At 41.6% G+C, this 21,658-nt stretch overlaps 1 pseudogene across 1 annotated transcript in view; it reads right to left on the bottom strand.

The window, feature by feature from the left end:
• Positions 1–21,658, bottom strand: part of SMG1P5 (SMG1 pseudogene 5) — a 50,357-nt pseudogene that overhangs the window by 13,309 nt on the left and 15,390 nt on the right. The window contains exons 2-6 of the transcript NR_002453.5: positions 7,464–7,627; positions 6,729–6,884; positions 2,896–3,032; positions 1,543–1,601; positions 51–264 (exon numbers count right to left, since the gene is read on the bottom strand). The product of NR_002453.5 is annotated as an SMG1 pseudogene 5 (transcript). The remainder of the gene's footprint in view (positions 1–50; positions 265–1,542; positions 1,602–2,895; positions 3,033–6,728; positions 6,885–7,463; positions 7,628–21,658) is intronic.

Consider the following 21,658-nt stretch of genomic DNA (forward strand, 5'->3'; position numbering starts at 1 on the left):
GGACAATTTTCTTCCCAAGTACATCATGCATTTTCCCCCTTCATTCTTACCTGCATTACAGATGAAAAGGCTTTCTTTTCTCCTACAGTCTCTAGTGCTTTGTAGGTGGCACATAAGTAGAGGACTTTAACTTCATCTTTTGCAGATGAGCTAAATTTGCTAAAACTCCACTTGAAGATCTTCTCAGCCTCATAGCTCAGAGAAGCACAAAGAAGGCCAAGACAGCAAGCTCCCTCCTGTCTCAACTCCTGAAGCAATTTGCTACTGTGTTTATTTTAATGCAAACAAAAAACACACACAAAAGGCTTAAGTTTTCTATGATGACACGAGTAATACATCTTACAAAAGAATGTCTTAAGTGGTTTTTTAAATTTCTATTCAAACTACATAAAAGGTTGAAATTTTCTCCACTTTAAATACTACATTCTGTCTAGCCTGCATTGCCCTCAAGTATCTGTCTGACATTACTTTCTTTTTACAAAATCAATTATTTACAAACAGTGAGGGAAGGCCCAAAAATGCTAAATTCCATCTCAAACTGTATTAAATAACTCTCAGAAAAGGGCAGCAACAAATAATTAGATAAAACACTCTATACATAACTACATTCTACATAATATCCAATATGTAATGACTATAAAATAAAAAATGGTAATAGTTAAATACAGAAACTTAAAAGGATAACAGTAATGATTTACATAGAACTTTAATAAGTAACTCTATAAAACAAAACCATCAAAAGGCACTAAGGTTTATGACCAGCTGAGATAAATTTTGGGTACTTGCCAACACTGCAAATCTTTGGGAATCACCATAACAAAAAATGACCACACACCTCTGGAGACGCTAATAGCCAGAGAATATATGGTTTGGATCCACTCTTACCCAAAGAAGGAAATTCCTTTTTACCTCTATTCTCTAAGCAGTTTCAAATTCTCTAGTTTACAAAAACTAATTTTATTCTTCATGCCTGCATCAAGAGTTTATGCCATTCCATAAGTCAAGACTCAGTTATCCAGTGAGACTAGTAAATTAAAAAAATAAAATATTCCAGCCAGGCACAGTGGCTCATGCCTGTAATCCCAACACTTTGGAAGGCTAAGGTGGGTGGATCACCTGAGGTCAGGAGTTCCAGACCAGCCTGGCCAACATGGTGAAACCCTGTCTCTACTAAAAATACAAAAATTAGCTGGCAGTTGTGGTGCATGCCTGTAGTCCCAGCTACTCGGGAGGCTGAGGCAGGAGAATCACTTGAACCCGGGAGGTGGAGGTTGCAGTGAGCTGAGATCGCACCACTGCACTCCAGCCTGGGCGACACGGTGAGACTCTGGCTCAAAAAATAAATATTCTTTTCAAGTGGATTCCATTTGTATTCAACCGTAATTAACACATAATTAATGCAGATAAAAATGACAAGACCCACTGAAATGTCAATAGATGTTCATAAACAAAGCCAGTGGGTTTGTCTTCTTGTGTATTGTTAAGTAATTTCTAAAAATATATTTTAAAGTCATTTAAACCGAACCATTATTAGTTACTTACCTTTCATTAAGCACATCATGTACAGCAGCCAAGATATTATCCAATTGTTTAACTAGTACCTTTAAAAGAAAACACATTTATAAAAACTTCAAATTCCTATACTTTTAAGAATAGCATTGTGTACTTTTTTACTTGTCTTCCCTCCAAATTCTAATTCAACAGTACTTTACTTTCTTTATTATTCCCACTCCCCAATGAGCATGTATCAGGAATGTCATGTTTCCTTTCAGCCTATGAAAGAAATTCACCCACTGGAAACATAGAGCTGTGATCATCAACAAAAAAATAAACTCAAAAAGCTTGTTTTATTTACTTTGAAATCCATTTGAAAAATTGACTGATGGATGGAGGGATAGATGGAGAGATATGTGACAAGGCAGTATTTAGGGCAAAACATTAACGACAAAAATTAGATGATGGGTTTAACAGATTCAATGTCAAATTCTTTCAACTTGCTATATATTTGAAACTACTCATAATAAAATTTGGAAGGAGGAGAAACTTGCTTTGATCCAAGTGTCATCTGCCTCACTAGACCATTTTCATTAATTTTCTCCTGCTCATTGTCAAGTTCTTTTTTTTTTTTTTTAAGATGGAGTTTCACTCTTTTCGCCCAGGCTGGAGTGCAATGGCGTGATCTCAGCTCACTGCAACCTCCGTCTCCTGGGTTCAAGCGATTCTCCTGCCACAGCCTCCCATGTAGCTGGAATTACGGTCATGTGCCACCACGCCCAGCTAATTTTGTATTTTTAGTAGAGATGGGGCTTCACTATGTTGGGCAGGCTGGTATCGAACTCCTGAACTCAGGTGATCCGCCCACCTTGGCCTCCCAAAATGCTGGGATTACAGGCATGAGCCACCACACCTGGCCCATATCAAGTTCTTAATTGGTGTAAAGAAAGTGAAGAAAAAAATTTAACCCTTCCCATACTTTGTTACATTTCTGTTGTTGTTTTAAGAGACAAGGACTCCCTCTGTCGCCCAGGTTGACATGCAGAGGTGTGATCATATCTCACTGCAACCCTGAATTCCTGGGCTCAAGTGATTCTTCCACCTCAGCCAGGTGTAGTAGCACATGCCTGAAGTCCCAGCTACTCAGGAGGCCACAGCGGGAGGACAGCTTGAATCCAGGAGTTTGAGACTGCAGTGAGCTATGATTGTGCCACTGCACTCCAGCCTGGGCGAGAGCAAGATCTTGTCTTTAAGAAGAAAAAGAAATTACATATTAGAGAGCATTAAGTTCTTGATCATCATAATACAGACTTTCCCCATTCTTAAACTACTCAAGGTAGCATTACCTAGTTTATTATGGAAACACAAAAATCCTCATATTTCCAAACATACTATACTTACCAGCTTATTTTCTGGTTGCTGAATAAATTCTTTCAACTGCTTTACAGTGACCAATCTTCAGTCTCTGTCGTCTTCCCGGGTGATCCTCCGAAGAAGATTTGACAGTCGAGACTCATCACAATAAGACATCGATCTCTCTGTGAATATATAAACATTTTGTTGTCCATTGAGTATAAATAAGCAAAGGAATTTTTAAATTTTAAAATAATTTTTAAATTTTTAAAATTAAAAATTATTTAAATAATAATTAAATTATTATGGTGGCTCATGCCTGTAATCCCAGTACTTTGGAAGGCGGGTAGATCACATCAGTTCAGGAGTTTGAGACCAGCCTGGGCAACATGGTGAAACCCTGTCTCCACAGACACACAAAAAATTACATAAACTAGCCAGCCAAGGTGGTGTGCACCTGTAGTCCCAGCTACTCGGGAGGCTGAGGCAGGAGAATCACTGGAGCCCGTGAGGTGGAGGTTGCAGTGAGCCGAGATCACCCCACTGCACTCCAGCCTGGGTGACAGAGCAAGACCCTCTCTCAAAAATAAAATTACATCAAAAGTCACAGTCCACTGGTCAATAAAAGCTCAGGGAATATAGGTCCTATCGCTCTTTTGTTCAACTCTATATTCCAAATCCCAGCAGAGTGCCTGGCACATAACAGACCCTCAAAAAAATATTTGCTGAAGGAAACGAGAAATGAATAACCCTAGGCCAGCTGAACACCTCATTCCAGAGGACTGGCTGGGAGAGAAAAAAGAAAGGCCTTAGTAACAACTTTCTTTGGGTCCATTCCAAACTGTTTTCAACATGCAGGTAAAGAGCCTGGGTGTAGGTAAATTAAACAACTTCCAAGGGGTACGGATAAAGCCTCAATCGAGTAAAAACAGGATATAGGCTTCTACTTATCATCTAGGTATCCCACTGGAGGAAAGCCTCTTATTCACATTATCATCATTTCCCTGGGATGAAGTTTTGGGGAGCCATAATCACACATTTAGTTCAACAAATGTCTAATTATCATCTACCACATGCAAGGCATGCCTCCACTAGAAAGGTAGCAAACCACAACTTTTCTCCCCTTATTTTTTAATCACAAGAACAAGCACACAATAGTGAATACCATTAGTATATTAACAATGCCTTTAAAAACTAGATTTTTGCTGGGCGAGGTGGCTCTTCCCTGTAATTACCCAGCACTTTGGAAGGGCAAGGCAGGCAGATCACTTGAGCCCAGGAGTTCGAGACCAGCATCGGCAACATGGTACAACCCCATCTCTACGAAAAATACAAAAATTAGCTGGGCACAGTGGCACATGCCTGTAATCCCAGCTACTCAGGAGGCTGAGGTGGGAGGATCGCTTTAGCCTGGGAAGCAAAGGTTGCAGTGAAATCACACTAGTGCATTCCAGCCTGCGTGACAGAGCGAGACTGTCTCAAAAAACAAAACAAAACAAAAAACTCAATTTTTGCAAAACATTTTCAACTGTGCTATTTACCATAATTAGCCAATACATACGTAAACAACAAATCACAAAGGGTCTGACAGTTTCATTTCTAAGGTATGAGAAAAAATTGATAATAAAAGAAACCAGAAGGCTGGGCGTGGTGGCTCACACCTGTAATCCCAGCACTTTGGGAGGCCGAGGAGGGCAGATCACGGGGTCAGGAGATTGAGACCTGCCTGGCCAACATGGTGGAACTTCGTCTCTACTAAAGATACAAAAAATTAGCCGGGCATGGTGGCACGCTCCTGTAATCCCAGCTACTCGGGAGGCTGAGGCAGGAGAATCACTTTAATCTGGGAGGTGGAGGCTGCAGTGACCTGAGATCGCGCCATTGCACTCCAGCCTGGGTGACAGGGAGATACTCCATCTCATAGATAAATAAATAAATAACTACAAGGGGAGCAAAACACACTGGATCCTTTTGGAGGGTGGGGGGTGGGAGGAGGGAGAGGATCAAGAGAAACAACCAATGGGTACCAGGCTTAATACCTGGGTGATAAAATAATCTATACTACAAACCCTCATGACACAAGTTTACCAGTGTAACAAATCTGCACTTGTATCCTGAATTTAAAAGTTAAAAAAAAAAAAAAAAAAAAAGAAACTACAATGTCTGAGAGAAGAATAGGATTTTTACAAATCCGTAGCCCATAGAGTATTTCAATAAGGACGGATACCAAAAATGTCATCAAGTTACCAGCTGGGAAATTAGGCTCTACTTACAATTCTGTCACTAGCAAACTACCTTTGAAGAAGAGGAATTGTTTACTGAACTACTTTAGAGTCACTGTTTAGCTTCTATAATATCATAAGTCTAAGGCTTCAAACACTCTGTTTTAACAAACAGCATACATAGCCTTTGAATTCATTCCACTTGTGAAAACATAAAAAGAAATCAGTTTTTTAAAAGTTATATACCAACAATAAAAGCTACACGCACAAAGATTTTCACCAAGATACACGAAGCACACACACAGTATAAAAAAAAAAAAAAGTCAAAAACTAAATGTCCAAAAAGTAATTACATCTGACAAAGCCCATAACTCAGCTTTACCGATAAATTTCTCTTTAAGGAAAAAAATTATCATTACCTCTAATCCTCTGAACTTTCTTTTTTGTTGTTGTTTTTTTGAGACGGAGTCTCGCTCTGTTGCCCAGGCTGGAGTGCAGTGGTGCACTCAGCTCACTGCAAGCTCTGCCTCCCGGGTAGCTGGGACTACAGGCGCCCACCACCGCGCCCAGCTAATTTTTTGTATTTTCAGTAGAGACAGGGTTTCACCGTGTTAGCCAGGATGGTCTCGATCTCCTGACCTCGTGATCTGCCCGTCTCAGCCTCTCAAAGTGCTGGGATTACAGGCGTGAGCCACTGCACCCGGCCAATCCTCTGAACTTCCAAGGCACTCACCTATACAGTGAGGCTACGCCATAAGGCAGAAATGCTATCAGTGTATTTAACTTTAGAAAAGTGCCCACTCTAGGCAGGGCCCAGTGGCTCACGCCTGTAATGAGCACATGTGATCACTTAAGGTCAGGAGTTCGAGACCAGCCTGGCCAACATGGTGAAACCCTGTCTCCACTAAAAATGCAAAAATCAGCTGGGTGTGGTGGCATGTACCTGTACTCCCAGCTACTTGGGAGGCTGAGGCACGAGAATCACTTGAACCTGGGAGGCGGAGGTTGCAGTGAGGAGAGATTGCAGCACTGCGCTCCAGCCTGGGTGACAGAGCAAGACTCTGTCTCAAAAAAATATATTGAAAACAACAACAAAAAAACCAGAAAAGTACCCACTCTAGGGGGCGGGGGGAAGGAGAGCATCAGCAAGAATAGCTTAATGGATGCTGGGTTTAATACCTAGATGATGGGATGATCTGTGCAGCAAACTACCATGGCACACGTTTACCTACATAACAAACCTGTACATCCTGCACATGTACCCTGAACTTAAAAGAGAAAAAAAAAAAAAAGACAGAAAAGTACCCCCTCTATATATATATCTATATCCTCCACAGGCCCAAGAGTTCAAGGACTTGCTGTAGTAAGAGCCTACTATGCACTATACATTCAATATCCACGATAATTGGGTAAACCTTTTCTGTAAGATCTTATCCAGTCTTCTAATCTTGTTTTAAGAGAATTCTCTTTTAAAATGTACTATAACCTTTCTAGTGGGAAATTAACAATTCACAGGAAAAGAATGTAAACAATTTTTACCTGCACAGTAGACTAATCAACTTATGCCTGTGCAAGGCGTTAGTAAGAGGCATCCAGAATAAGAGGAGATACAAGTCTTTGGAAGGTGTATGTGATTGGTCCCCATTTTCCCAGCCTTACCCTGTGATTTCCTCATGTCTTTGGTGGCTAAAGCACGACTGCCATGCTGAACACTGGTGAACTCAGGGCTGGTCACATTGTTAACCCTCAGCTCTTGCCCCAACGACTTCCGACCATAAGTATTTTCCCCAGATCCTCCATTGACACTGTAGCCACCTACAAACAGCAATGTGTACGTTATTTAAATATGATTGTTCGTTTCATTCAGTCAATTTCCTGATAGCTCAGGATCTTACTACTCAATCTGCAGCTCAACCAGCCTTTGCTTCTCCTACCTTTTTCCTGTACTGTCTGCCTTGAAAATCATTTTCATTTCTTTTAATACACCTTTGAAGTTAAATTAATTTTATTTTGATCCCTTCATTGGAAAATAAGCAAAGAAATGAAAACTAAATTAAATCAAATTTTGCACCTTAAAACTTTCTTGAAGTTTAGAGACAGTAGCCAAGAGGAACTTCAACCTTAGCTAAATATTTTTGAAAATAAAAACAAAAATAGTATTGTATCTTTTTTGTAAGAAAACTGCATTGATGAATTATGTACGGAAAAATTTTAAATTTTAAAAATAATAAAGTGGATAAACGTCCTATGAAGTTTTCAGAAATAACACTGCATTTGTTATTCGTATTTTAAATATATTAGAAGAAAGCGAGAAAGTTGGGGGTGTAAGAAGGCAAGAAGGTGGGATAGGTAGGTTCAAAAAACATGCTTGTAGCAATAAGAAAATATATATACCCTTTTCGTCATTCTGTATGTCAGCGTGGACTCTGGTATCATCGTGCCTTTGCCGAGACACCACAGCTGAATTTGAAGGTTGCAGTCCGTAAGAGGAAGAACCACCTCTATCTCTGGATGAAGAATATTTTAAATTACCTGGGTCAGCTGATGCACTATCAGTTCTATAAAAAGAGAAAAGTTTAAGATTAGAACTTTAAATAACATAAATAAATCTTTCTTTAAACAAGCCTCTCTTCTCCCAAATTTTACATTTAACCATTACTATTGTATTTAATGTAATATGTACTATATATTATATGTAAGCACTCAGCCGTCTAATAAGAAGTCTTTCACTGGGAAGAGATTCTCAATGGATGAAATGCCAACTTTTCAGTCTCTTCTACTGTTCTAAAGACCCATTCAGAAATACGAATAACTACTGGGATTAGGGTGACTTTGCTGGTTTTAGCATTGAAAGCCTCCTGTCCCAGGCAAAACAGGACAATTGGTTACTCTGGTCCAGTGTTCTCCTCACATGACTTGATAATAAGAATAATTCTTTCTAAATTCTCCCCCATGGAGAGGGTTAATCAGTCAAAACATTTCAGCCTTTCCTATCATAAAAATAAAAAACACTGGCAGCATGTCAGGGACAGGCAATGTCTTACCAAGTTATTTTCTAAGTACTGATTAGGTACTGTAGTATTGAAGACCCCATTGAAGATGCCTTAATTGTAAAGGTAGCAATCAAAATTTTAAAAAGTAAAAAAGAAGACATTTTAAGAAAATAAAAGGTATCAGAAATGCAATAACGTTATATCGGAAAGTTGTAGTTCATAATCTATTTAAAATTTAGGTACTGTTTAGAATAATACCTGATGCTTATTAGTAAACAAGTAGGGTACAGCCAAGGGTAAAAGTGTGTCCTCATCTAAGTATCTGCTCTACGCTTCAACTGCCTCATAAGTAAAACAGAGCTGAGTTACAAGACTTCTCACGAGTGTTACTCTTTCAGCCATCAATCATAAACTATTAAGAAAGAAGACAACAAAATAATCTGTTATAGCATATGAAAAATCCAAGTAAGTTCTTCCCCTACTGATTTTCTCCTGAGAGGAACAACTTTGAGGAAAAAAAAAAAGAAAATCACTTCTATGATATTTACTAAAAATGCTTTCTCCACCTTTTAGAACCTGAATCTTTTAGAAAAGTTTAGGACACTGGCAAGGCCAGAAACTAACCTATTCCTCTACGCTTTGCCCCTCTATGGTGTAAAAGTGACAGCAGTGTTTGTATACTGTATATATTTCATTTAGAGTTTATTAGTCTTTCCTTGCTCCCAAAAATACTAAACATAAAACTTTGCATGAGCTCACTCAGTTGGACACCTTGATCTGCACTTACTGCAATCACTGTTAATACAGAATGCAGACAATAGGTCCAATTAAACTTGGATATCTAACTGGTACAAGTCATTACTTATAAAGGATCTCAATCTGAAACTTCATGAAATTCAAAACCTAGCATACTAAAATGACTACGGCTCCATAAGGAGTATCTTCTAATATTCAGAGTTCGCTTATTCATAAAGCTAAGTACTTCGAACATAAGGGAAAATTAAATCTATGGAATTTCAAGAAAAATGTATGAGAATATTTTCTGAGTATACTAAGTCTATAAGCATTAAAATATTAACTCAATGGACCATAACTTTTTTAAACTAATGAAAAGACATTCCTTATGTACCTAAAAATAGCACATTTAACATGCGTCTATATAAATCATAGCATACCATTACTTTCTGAAAGGAGACTGAAATGTAAGAGAGCTTATAATCTTTTCTGACAGGGTGTGAACTTTATATGTACGCCACAGTAAGCTCTTATTAGATGAGCAAATAAAATAAGCACTTGACTAATTCAGAAACACAAAGATAACTGAAGTCTGCCAATATTTAAACATATCTTCACTTCCTGTTTTCATCATGTTTACTTATCTCCTATACTACCTTTACTATTAAGAGTTAAATGTTTGTATCATTTTCTGGTGACACAGTAGTACCATAAGGCAGCAGAGAATACAAGTTAAAAAAAGATCTGGGCTCAAATCCCAGCTCCAGCACTGAAAAGTATGTGTGCCTTTGCACAAATTACTTGATCTCCAAGCCTTGGTTGTCTCTTGCATAAAATGAGGATGATACCTATCTAACATGTAAGGTTGTTGTGAGGCTTAAATAAGATAATGAATTATAAAGAAACACTTAGTTTGCAGGGTATGTTAAAAGTTATTATGACCATAATACAAAATAAACTCAGTTTCCAGTCTAAAAGACAATGTACAAACAGTTCATGAGTATATGAATATAATCAAAACAAGTTTTTACAGTCAATATAGAGCAACTTAAATACTTCACTGAAGAAAGCAGGTAATCTGTGGCTACCAACAATGTGTTTCCAACTAGGAAGCATCTGATTTCAAACTAAACTGTAAAACCAGGAGCAGCTTCCCCATTGGTTAGAAATAAGGTTTCTAAATCCCCTAAGTTATGAACACTGAGATTTTTTTCCCAAAAAAATTTGTGTTTTCAGAAATATAACAAAAAAAACTGGAATAGAGCCACTGTCTCAGAAATACCTGAAAACTCCCTAGTTGCCAAATTATTTTAATACAAATTGATCAAAGCATCCCCAACCAGAACTCAGGTTGTAAGCATTCTGAACCGAAAAGCACAAAATGGTTTAACATTTATACGAAATTTCTATTTTTATACAATCTTGACTGCTTAGGTTTCAAAAAATGTCAATGTCAGGCTGTTAGCACCAACAAGATCATCCCAGTCCAATAAATAGAAAACTGTTAAAGAACGGAAATGAGCACTTAAAATGAGGCAATCAAAGCCACAAAATAGAAACTGCAGATATGAACTCCAAGAAGCAGGCATAAATGTTAGGCTAGTTAGTTAGAAGAGCTGAAAGGGATATCATCTGCCAGAATTAGTGTCTCAATTTAGTGAAAAAAGAAAATCTATCTGTTAAGTCTAAGAATCCTAGCAAAGATCCAAAAATACCTCTACAGCCCCTTTAATATTCTAAAAATATCATGGAGAGAAAAAAAAAGAAATGCATAAATTTCCCCAAAACGATCAAACTGAAGTTAAAGCCTGAGGTACATGCCACATGAGAGGTAAGTTTCTAAAGCTCATAACTCAAAAATCGCATACTGTATAACATGGAGCCTTTGTGATGTTTTGCATCAAGTCAATCTGTAAGACAGTAGTTATAATATTAGTGAAGACAGTGGGTTAAAACATTTGTTGTTCAAACATGGAGCAAATATCATTCATGAGTTAGGTGACTTTAGTTGAACTATGGTCCCATTAGGGTTCATACATTAAAGCAAAAATTGAGGTGGAAAGCCACTCCGTGCCTTACAGGATAAAGAGGCTTAATGTGGCAACCAAAAAATTTTTAGTACATAAGAGAATTTAAATGTTAACTATAATATACAAATCACATGCAAATATAGTTACCACTTATTTTAGTTACCTACTCTCAATATACAGAAAAATGCCACAAATCTAGGAGGCCATTCGTTTCAAATGACCGGAATCCTTAGACCTCACACCAACGATCCACCATGTGCTGGGGATGGTATCGCCTGACTAAATGTAGTCTTGCAGTCCATTCTTGTAAGTATTAGAGAGAAAAAGAGAGAGAGCGTCATCTCTGGAAAGTGTGAAGTCAGGGACTTCCCTACTAGGAAGCATTTCCATAAAGCACCCCAAAATGACTTGATGCAAACACCACACCTAGTGGTATCACTGGAGTAAGCATCATATTACTTCAAATTGCTTTTACCTAGGTTTATTAAGGGATTTTGCTCTCATGCTGAGATCTAATTTGTAATGGATATAAACCAGGAAATGAGATTTGCACTAAAGCCAATGAAGTAGGAATGTACTTATTCTCTAACGTAGCAAAGATAGTCTCACTGTCACAGAGCAGTTATAGGATATGTTGCTTTCCATACTAATGGTTAATACCACTTGGAAATGATTTACCCTTCAAAAATAAATTCAAGGTTTTCCCCTGTAATGCCTCTTACCTGGATTCAAACATGCTTTAATGAGGAATAAGAGAAAGGGTGAAACTATGAATAACCCCGGGCCTTGTATCATTACATTAGAAACACTGCTCTAAATATGAGTCTATGGCTAAAATATTAATTTGAGAGGCTCAGGGAATTCATTATACAAATCTCTTCTTGCAGAGAACTTTAAGTTCAAATTTAATAAAACAAAACAGAACCATTCCACGTCAAAATTGTAAATGAGTATGCATCAGTTTTGCAATACTGAAATATTAAATTAATATAATTTATTGGTAAAACTAGCTTAGCTACCTAAGTATTAAGTGTCTATAATAACCAAATCTTAATTATCCATTTATGGGTGATTTGTTTCCTTTTTTGAGACAGGGTCTCACTCTGTCACCCAGGCTGGAGTGCACTGGCATGACCATAGCTCACTGCAGCCTCGACCTCATGGGTGCAGCCTCGACCTCATGGGTTCAGCCTCTCAAACAGCTGGGACCACAGGTGCATGCCACTCTATTTAGCTAATTTTTTATTTTTATGTTTTTTGGAGACAGGTGTCTGATTATGTTGCTCAGGCTGCTCTCAAATTCCTGGACTCAAGCAATCCTCCCACCTCAGCCTCCCAAAATGCTAGGATTAGAGGCATGAGTGACCACATCTGGACTGTCACCAATTTTTAACGGTTTGTCAACTAAACAGCCAATATAGACTGATAAAATATACTTAACTATTGTAAAATTGTAAAGAATTGTATCTTCACCAAGGAGAGGTCTGGCTTTTACCTGTGAATTCTGGAAGGTAATTTCTAAACTCTTGAAATGTCAAACCTAATAAGAGAGTCCTGGCCAGGAGCAGTGGCTCACACCTGTAATCCCAGCACTTTGGGAGGCCAAGGCGGGCAGATCGCTTGAGGTCAGGATTTTGAGACCAGCCTGGCCAGCATGGTGAAACCTGTCTCTACTAAAAATACAAAAATTAGCCAGGCATGGTGACGGGCACCTGTAATAATCCCAGCTACTCAGGAGGCTGAGGTTTCAGTAAGCTGAGATCATGCCACTGTACTCCAGCCTGGGCAACAGAGCAAGACTATCTCCAAAAAAAAGGGGGGGGGGGCGGCAGTGGGGGGAAAGTGTCCTTGTTCATCTGGGGGCTTTAGGCCACAGCAGAGTCTAATAATGTGGCTTATGGTGGGGGCTTTGAGTCATATGGATCAGCTTGACCTCCAGTGGGGCTGGAGACTAAGGTTAGCCACATGGGCATGCAACCATGGAACCCCAGTAAAAACGCTGGACATAAAAAATAGAGTGAGCTTCCTTGGTTGGCAATAATCCATGAGTATGGTCGCACACCAGTGCCACCAGGAAGGTGTCATTTTTCACAACTCTACAGGGACAGGACAATTCAAAACTCCAACATTTGGAACTTCCCCGAACTCTGCCCTATGCACCTCTACCCTTGGCTCATTCTAATCTGAATCCCTAAACTGCAATAAACTCTAACCATGGGTATGAGAGCTTTCAATGAGTTCTGGTGAGTCCTCCTGGCAAATCATCCAACCTAAGAGTGGTCTTGGCCAGGCACAGTGACTCAAGCCTGTAATCCCAGCACTTCGGGAGGCCCAGGCAGGCGGATCACTTGAGCTCAGGAGTTTGAGACCAGCCTGGCAATATGGTGAAACTGTCTCTAAAAAATATAGAAAAACTAGCCAGGCGAGGTGGTGTGTGCCCATAGATCCAGCAACTCAGGTGGCTGAGGTAGGAGGACTGCCTGAACCTGGGAGGGAGGAGGTCAGGGCGCAGTGAGCCGTGATCATGCCACTGCACTCTCGCCTGGGTGACAGAGAGAGGCCCTGTCTCAAAAAAAAAAAGAGTGGTCTTGGGAACCCCCAAACTTGCAACTAGTATTAGAAGCAAGGGTCATCTTATGGACTGGACTCCCTCTTACTCTGCATTCATATTTAAAACCATTAAATATACTGTAGCTCAAAAAAAGTTGCTTGTTTGTTTTGAAAAAGGGTCTCCCACTGTCGCCCAGGCTAGAGTGCAGTGGCGCAATCCGAGCTCAAGCAAACCTCCCACATCAGCCTCCCAAGTAGCTGAGACCACAGGCTTACTCCACCACGCCCAGCAACTTTTGTATTTTTTTTGTCCCATTCTCTACAACATTCCCAAAATGCTGCCCAAGCTGGTCTCGCACTCCTGAGCTCAAGTGATCCACTCACCTCAGCCTCCCAAAGGGTTGGGATTACAGGCATAAGCCACTGCACCCGGCCATAAATTTTGTTTTTTAATAACATTTCTAGCAAACATGATAAAGATTTGGCTTCAGTGTTGCTTATTTTCCTTCCAAGGAACCTCTAATATTCTCTATGTTCAGAACTCCAATCAAATTAGCCAGAAAGAGCAAACGAAGCCAATAAATCCAGGAGGGCAATAGATCTGATTTTAACCCTTGTTTCACATGCACAATTGTCTTCAGAGAAAAGCTGAAGAAAGTACCCCCTCACCTCCATGCCCCAATGCTCCTTTTCTCTGACTTCAAGTGGGCCTCTGATGCTGCCCACACTTCCCTCATCAGGTTTCTTTCCTTTCCAAAACATCTGTAAAACTTTCTGCACCTTCTCCCTTCTCCCACCACTACCAGTGGATGACCTTATAGATTTCTGCTCCATGAGAAATAGAAGCCATTTGACAGCACCCTCAGCAAGAGCTAACATTTTAGCTCCTAACAAGAGCTAGTGGGCAACTGATCCAAGCAGTTTACATATGTTTATCATGTCATTTCGTGTTCAACACAATCCTATTAGTTATAACTTGATAACTAAGGTTTCATAACTGGCCTAAGGTTGCACAGCTTGTAAAAGGCAGAGTCAGAACTCAGACCCAGTACTGTCTAATGTTTGAGCTCTTCAACACTCCAACGCTGCCTGTCATCTTCCTTCTAATATATCCACAAATTCACCTGCATCTGCACATACAGCTTTTCTTCCCATCATCTTCGCATAATGGAACAAATAAACCTCCTATCCATAGAAATCATCTGGATCTGTCTATTCCCCCCATTTTCCAAGGTATGTCTTGTCTTTTTTTTTTGAGATGTAGTCTCGCTCTGTCGACCAGGCTGAAGTGCAGTGGCGTGATCTCGACTCACCGCCTCCCAGATTCACGCCATTCTCCTGCCTCAGCCTCCCGAGTAGCTGGGACTACAGGCGCCCACCACCATGCCCGGCTAATTTTTTGTATTTTTAGTAGAGACGGGGTTTCACCATGTTAGCCAGGATGGTCTCGATCTCCTGACCTCGTGATCCGCCCACCTTGGCCTCCCCAAAGTGCTGGGATTACAGGCTTGAGCCACTGCACCCGGCCTGTTTCTTTTGTATGTTGCAAAATCTCCCATTTTACTACTGCTTATCACATCGTCAACATATGAGCACTCTCAAAAGTCTTACTTTAAAAAAAACAAAAACAAAAACAAAAAATGGCCGGGCACGGTGGCTCACGCCTGTAATCCCAGCACTTTGGGAGGCGAAGACAGGCAGATCATAAGGTCAGGAGATTGAGACCACCCTGGCCAACATGGTGAAACCCCGTCTCTACTAAAATAGAAAAAATAAAACTACCTGCGCGTGGTGGCACGCACCTGTAGTCCCACCTACTTGGGAGGCTGAGGCAGGGGAATCGTTTGAACCCGGGAGGCAGAGCTTGCAGTGAGCCGAGATCGTGCCACTACACTCCAGCCTGGCGACAGAGCAAGACTCTGTCTCAAAAAAAAACTAAAGGCCGGGTGCAGTGGCTCACGCTGGTAATCCCAGCACTTTGGGAGGCCAAGGTGGGTGGATCATGAGGTCAGGAGTTCAAGACCAGCCTGGCCAATGTAGTGAAACCCCGTCTCTACTAAAAATACCAATATCAGCCAGGCGTGGTGGCGGGCGCCTGCAATCCCAGCTACTCAGGAGGCTGAGGCAGGAGAATCGCTCGAATCCGGGAGGCAGAGGTTGCAGTGAGCCGAGACTGCACCATTGCACTCCAGCCTGGGCGGCAGAGAGACTCCATCTCAAAAATAATAATAATAATAAAATAAATTTAAAAATTAAGAAAATAAGGCCGGGCACGGTGGCTCACGCCTGTAATCCCAGCACTTTGGGAGGGTGAGGCAGGCAGATCATGAGGTCAGGAGTTTGAGACCAGCCTGGGCAACATAGTGAAACCCCATCTCTACTAAAAATACAAAAAATTAGCCAGGTGTGGTGGTGGGCGCCTGTAATCCCAGCTAGTTGGGAGGCTGAGGCAGGAGAACTACTTGAACCCCGGAGGCGGAGGTTGCAGTGAGCCGAGGTCGCGCCATTGCACTCCAGACCAGGCAACAGTGTGAGACTCTGACTCAAAAAAAAAAACAAAAAACAAAAAAACCCTTTAACTGCCTTTCTCCCTCTATCAATCTAATAGCCTGGACTCTTCACAGACAAACCTGTTGAAAAATGTATCTTCCTTGCCTTCATTTACTTTTTAACGCACTTTAATCTGGGTTCCACCTGCAACACACCACTGAAGCTATTCCTACTAAGGTAGGAACTGCCACTCAAGGACTTCTTGGCTCTAAAATCCCATGAGCCTTTTTCAGTTCACCTTACAATTTCTCAGTACCATTCTAAAGTTTATGAGTTTTTTAGTTAACTTTAATTCCAGTGACTCTTTCTACTTTATCCCAATCCAAGTATTCTCCTCCTTCTTCACTTTTTTTTTTTTTTTTTTTTTTTTTTGAGACAGACTCTGACTTTGTTGCCCAGGCTGGAGTATAGTGGTGCAATACTGGCTCACTGCAACCTCCACCTCCAGGTTCAAGCGATTCTCCTGCCTCAGCCTCCCAAGTAGCTGAGATTACAGGCCCCTGCTACCACACCCGGCTAATTTTTGTATTTTTAGTAGAGACGGGGTTTCACCATGTTGGCCAGGCTGGTCTCGAACTCCTGACCTCAAGGGATCCCACCCGCCTCGGCCTCCCAAAGTGCTGGAATTACAGGCGTGAGCCAACGTGCCCGGCCCCTTCTTCACTTCTTTAACCAGCTTAGATTTCATTGTGTGTCATTTCAACAACACTCTTGCCTATACCCTTAACTCTTAAGATTTTCATCACAGCCATCTGGCAAAACCCCAATCCTGGATAAACCCAACGATCCATCAATAAGCACCACACTCCCAGGTCCTCCAGTGTTTACTTCCCATTCTATACATGCACTATCCAGACATTCCCATTATCTTCAAATTCCAAAATATCCTATCCACCTCCCCTCCCCATACACACATTCTACTTCACCAACAAAAAAAAAGGTACCAGCTGGGCACGGTGGCTCACGCCTGTAATCCCTGCACTTTGGGAGGCCAAGGCGGGTGGATCACTTGATGTCAGGAGTTGGACACCAGCCTGGCCAAAATGGTGAAACCTCATCTCTACTAAAAATACAAAAATTAGCTGGGTGTGGTGGTGCGCACCTGTAATCTCAGCTCCACGGGAGACTGAGGCAGGAGAATCGCTTGAACCCAGGAGGTGGAGGTTGCAGCGAGCCAAGACTGCACCACTGCACTCCAGAGCCTGGGCAATAATAAGAGCGAAACTCCATCTCGGGGAGGGGTGGGGAAGATACCATAAAATACCTGCACCCGATTCTAGACCTTACTGAGGATTCCATCTACTTCTACCTTACTGTAACTTTTCAAATACTTTTCCCACTGAACTAAATCCCCCCCATAAACATGCAACACTTTCTAATGTATCCCATTGAAAAATGCAAAAACATATAAAAAGGAAAAACTCCATCAATCCCACATGTCCCTCCATCGAACAATCTGCCTTTACTTGCTGCAGCCAAACTAAAGTTGTCTAGACTCCCCTCTCCCATTTCTTCACTTCTTCTAGCTCCTTAACACACACTGGTCCAAATTCTGCCCCATCACTCTTGGCAAAATCCATTATGACCTCCAGGCTGCTAAATCCAAGATACAGTTCAGGCCTCAATCTGCTCATCCTTTCAGCAGCTTTCACAGGGCTGCTGAGTAGGGTTGAGCAGTTTTGCCCTGCACACAGGTGCCCTGCAGAGGAATGAGGTGGGCTGAATGAAACTCCTTTTTTAAAAATTCTTGGCTGGCATAGTGGCTCACGCCTGTAATCCCAGCACTTTGGGAGGCTGAGGCGGACGGATCACTTGAGGTCAGGAGTTCAAGATCAGCCTGGCCAATATGGCGAAACCCCATCTATTAAAAATACAAAAATTAGCTGGGCGTGGTGGCGGGCACCTGTAATCCCAGCTACTCCGGAGGCTGAGGCAAGAGAATCACTTGAACCCAGGAGGCGGAGGTTGCAGTGAGCCGAGACTGTGCCACTGCACTCCAGCCTGGGCAACAAGAGAGAAACTCCATCTCAAAAAAAAAAAATTGTTTATGCCAACTAATTGTACACCTAAATGCACCAAGTTCATGACTTTCTCCTTGCATTTATTTATTTATTTATTTATTTATTTTTTAATTAGGTCTCACTCTATGTTGCCCACGTTGTAGTGCAGTGTGTGATTACAGCTCACTGCAGCCTTGAACTCCTGGGCTCAAGAGATCCTCTGGTCTTAGCCTCCCCAGTAGCTAGAACTACAGGTATGGAGTGGCTCTCTGCCTTTATTTCTAACCCAAGCTACCTTACAACCTTAAAAAGAGATGCTGCTTCGCCGGGCACAGTTGCTCTCGCCTATACTCCCAGCACTTTGGGAGGCCAAGGCGGGCGGATCATGAGGTCAGGAGTTCGAGACCAGCCTGACCAACATGGTGAAACCCTGCCTCTACTAAAAATACACAAAAACTTAGCCAGGCCTGGTGGTGTGGTGCCTGTAGTCCCAGCTACTCAGGAGGCTGAGGCAGGAGAATCATTTGAACCCGGGAGACAGAGGTTGTAGTGAGCCGGAGGTTGTAGTGAAGCCGGAGGTTGTAGTGAGCCGAGATCACGCCGCTGCATTCCCACCTGGGCGACAGAACAAGACTCCAAAAAAAAAAAAAAAAAAAGAGAGACCCTACTTCAGCTCTCAATTGCATCGCTTATCTTCCCCTTTTGTCAGTTAAGTCCTGGAAGTACCCTAGAAACCTATCATTTGGCCTGGGAAATTGCCAAGATTAAAAGGAAATGTCTTACTCTATGACCTCTTTAACAGATGAAGGACAAAAAAGGCTGAAAATGTACAAAGATATGCATCCCTCCCCCACCAGTTAAATGCCAAACATAGGCCAGGCACAGTTGATCACACCTGTACTCCCAGCTGTTTGGGAGTCCGAGGTAAGCAGATTACCTGAGTTCAGGAGTTCGAGATCAGCCTGGCCAACATGGTGAAACCCAGTCTCTACTAAAAATACAAAAAAATTAGGCAGGCGTGGTGGTGCACATCTGTAATCCCAGCTACTCAGGAGGCTGAGGCAGGAGAATCGCTTACCCAGAGGCGGAGGTTGCAGTGAGCTGAGAGCTCGCCACTGCACTCCGGCCTGGAGAACAGAGTGAGACTCGGTCTCCAAAAAAAAAAAAAAAAAGGCCAAACATAGCACATTCCAACCAAGATTAAGAATCACTAAGAGTTACATTGCACCACTGCACACCAGCCTAGGTGACAGAGCGAGACTCCGTTTAAAAAAAAAAAAAAAAGAGTTACACACTGCAGAAATCTAAAGAATCTCAAAAGTAGACTGGGACTTTATAATCAAGGTAAAGGTGAAGTCATGTTTACCAATATAAGAAATGAATGGGCCAGGCGCAGTGGCTCACACCCGTAATCCCAGCACTTTGGGAGGCCGAGGCGGGAGGATCACAAGGTCAGGAGATCGAGACCATCCTGGCTAACACAGTGAAACCCCGTCTCTACTAAAACTACAAAAAAATTAGCCGGGCGTGGTGGCAGGCACCTGAAGTCCCAGCTACTCGGGAGGCTGAGGCAGGAGAATGGCGTGAGCGCGGGAGGTGGAGCATGCAGTGAGCTGAGATCGCGCCACTGCACTCCAACCTGGGTGACACAGCGAGACTCCGCCTCAAAAAAAAAAAAAAAAGAAATGTATGCAACCATTTTTTTCAACTCCTGAAAATAGTCAGATAATAACTGTAGTTATTCTGATAAAGTTCCTTTAGCCAACAGGTTGAAGCACATTCCCAGCGAATAACATGTTTATAAGATTTTCTAACAATTGCATATGTTAAATCTTCTCTTTAAAAATAATCCTGGCCAGGCGCGGTGGCTCACACCTGTAATCCCAGCACTTTAGGAGGCCGACGCAGGTGGATCACTTCAGGTCAAGAGTTCAAGATCAGCCTGACCAACATGGAGAAACCCTGTCTCTACTAAAACTACAAAATTAGCCAGGTGTGGTGGTGCATGCCTGCAATCCCAGCTACTCGGGAGGCTGAGGCAGGAGAATCACTTGAACCTGGGAGGTGGAGGTTGTGGTGAGCCGAGATGGCGCCATTGCACTCCAGCCTGGGCAACAAGAGCGAAACTTCATCTCAAAAACAGGAAAAAAATAAAATAAAATAAATAAAAATAAAAATAATCCTAGGCCAAGCTGGCTGCAGTAGCTCACACCTGTAATCCCAGCTACTCAAGAGGCTGAAACAGGAGGATCACTTGAGCCCAGGAGTTTGAGACCAGCCTGGGCAACACAGTCAGACTGTGTCTCTAAAGAAAAAAATCGTCATCATCCTAGGCCAGTCCAGACAACATAGCAAGACCTCCAACTCTAAAAGAAAATGAAATAAAAAATTTTAAAAGTCAATTTAATTAGAGGTCTCAAGTAATTCCAGAAGATATGGTCTCACAAATCAAATACTGAAAAAGGAAGACGCCTTTCAAGATAATCACACTATTATTTTAACTGCAGGAAAATGTATTAAATGAAGACAGCTTTTGCTAGCTGCTGAAACATACTAGTAAGAACAGGAAACGATGCTCCCACCATGCTCAGCAGTAGCCAGAAATTTACTGAGGTCTTTGTATTTAGCCTTAAGTATAAGACACCTAGGAAACTTCAAAATCATCACTTAAGCCACTTTAAACCCACAGTCTATACAAACCCTATCTTTTTCTTTTGTTACATTTTATACTAAACACACTTTAATCAGATTGACATAAGTGATTTAAAAGAAGTAACTTTTATAATTCCCTTTTACAAGAAAAAAAGAAACAATGTTTCCAGATACTAAGTTCCTTAAGAGACAGCAATCATTTATTATAGATTTACAGTACTACAATTTCAAATAGTACCAGAATCTTTTTTTTTTTTTCTTTGAGACAGTGGCACAATCACAGCTCACAGAAGCCTCGACCTCCTGGGCTAAAGCAATCCTCCCACCTCAGCCTCCCAAGTAGGTGGGACTAGAAACTCATGACACCATGTCCAGTTATTTTTTTTTTTTTTTTTTGAGACAGAGTCTTGCTCTGTCACCCAGGCTGGAGTGCAGTGGTGTGATCTTGGCTCACTGCAACCTCTGCCTCCTGGGTTCAAGCAATTCTCCTGCCTCAGCCCCCAAATAGCTGGGATTACAGGCATGCACTACCATGCCCAGCTAATTTTTGTATTTTCAGTAGAGACGGAGTTTCACCAGGTTGGTCAGGCTGGTCTCGAATTCCTGATCTCGGTGATCTGACAGCCTCAGCCTCCCAAAGTGCTGGGATTACAGGTGTAAGTCACCATGCCCAGCCAATTTTTTTATTTTTTGTAGAAACGAGGTCTCACTATGTTACCCAGGCTGGTCTCCAACTCCTGGGCTCAAGTGATCCACCCACCTCCCTGTCTTGGTCTCCCAAAGCACCACCATGCCTGGCCCAAAATCTTGTAATTGCTTAATACTGTATATACATTCTTATAATGATATGATATTTCCCATCTTTGTTTAGAAGATGCGTGTGGTTCTTCTCCACCCCCTCAAGTACTTAAAACTATCACATTGGCAGAGTACAACTAAATGTTTCTGGCATCCTCCCTCCTCCCATTAAAAAAAAAATTAAAATAAAAATATGTATATACACACCCATACACACTACACCAGAGGGAAAAAAGCAACTCATCGTTCAACTGGTGTTCTTATAAGAATCAGTTCTTAAA

The sequence above is a fragment of the Homo sapiens genome, chromosome 16 (assembly GCF_000001405.40).
Source record: "Homo sapiens chromosome 16, GRCh38.p14 Primary Assembly".
Classification (NCBI taxonomy): domain Eukaryota; kingdom Metazoa; phylum Chordata; class Mammalia; order Primates; family Hominidae; genus Homo; species Homo sapiens.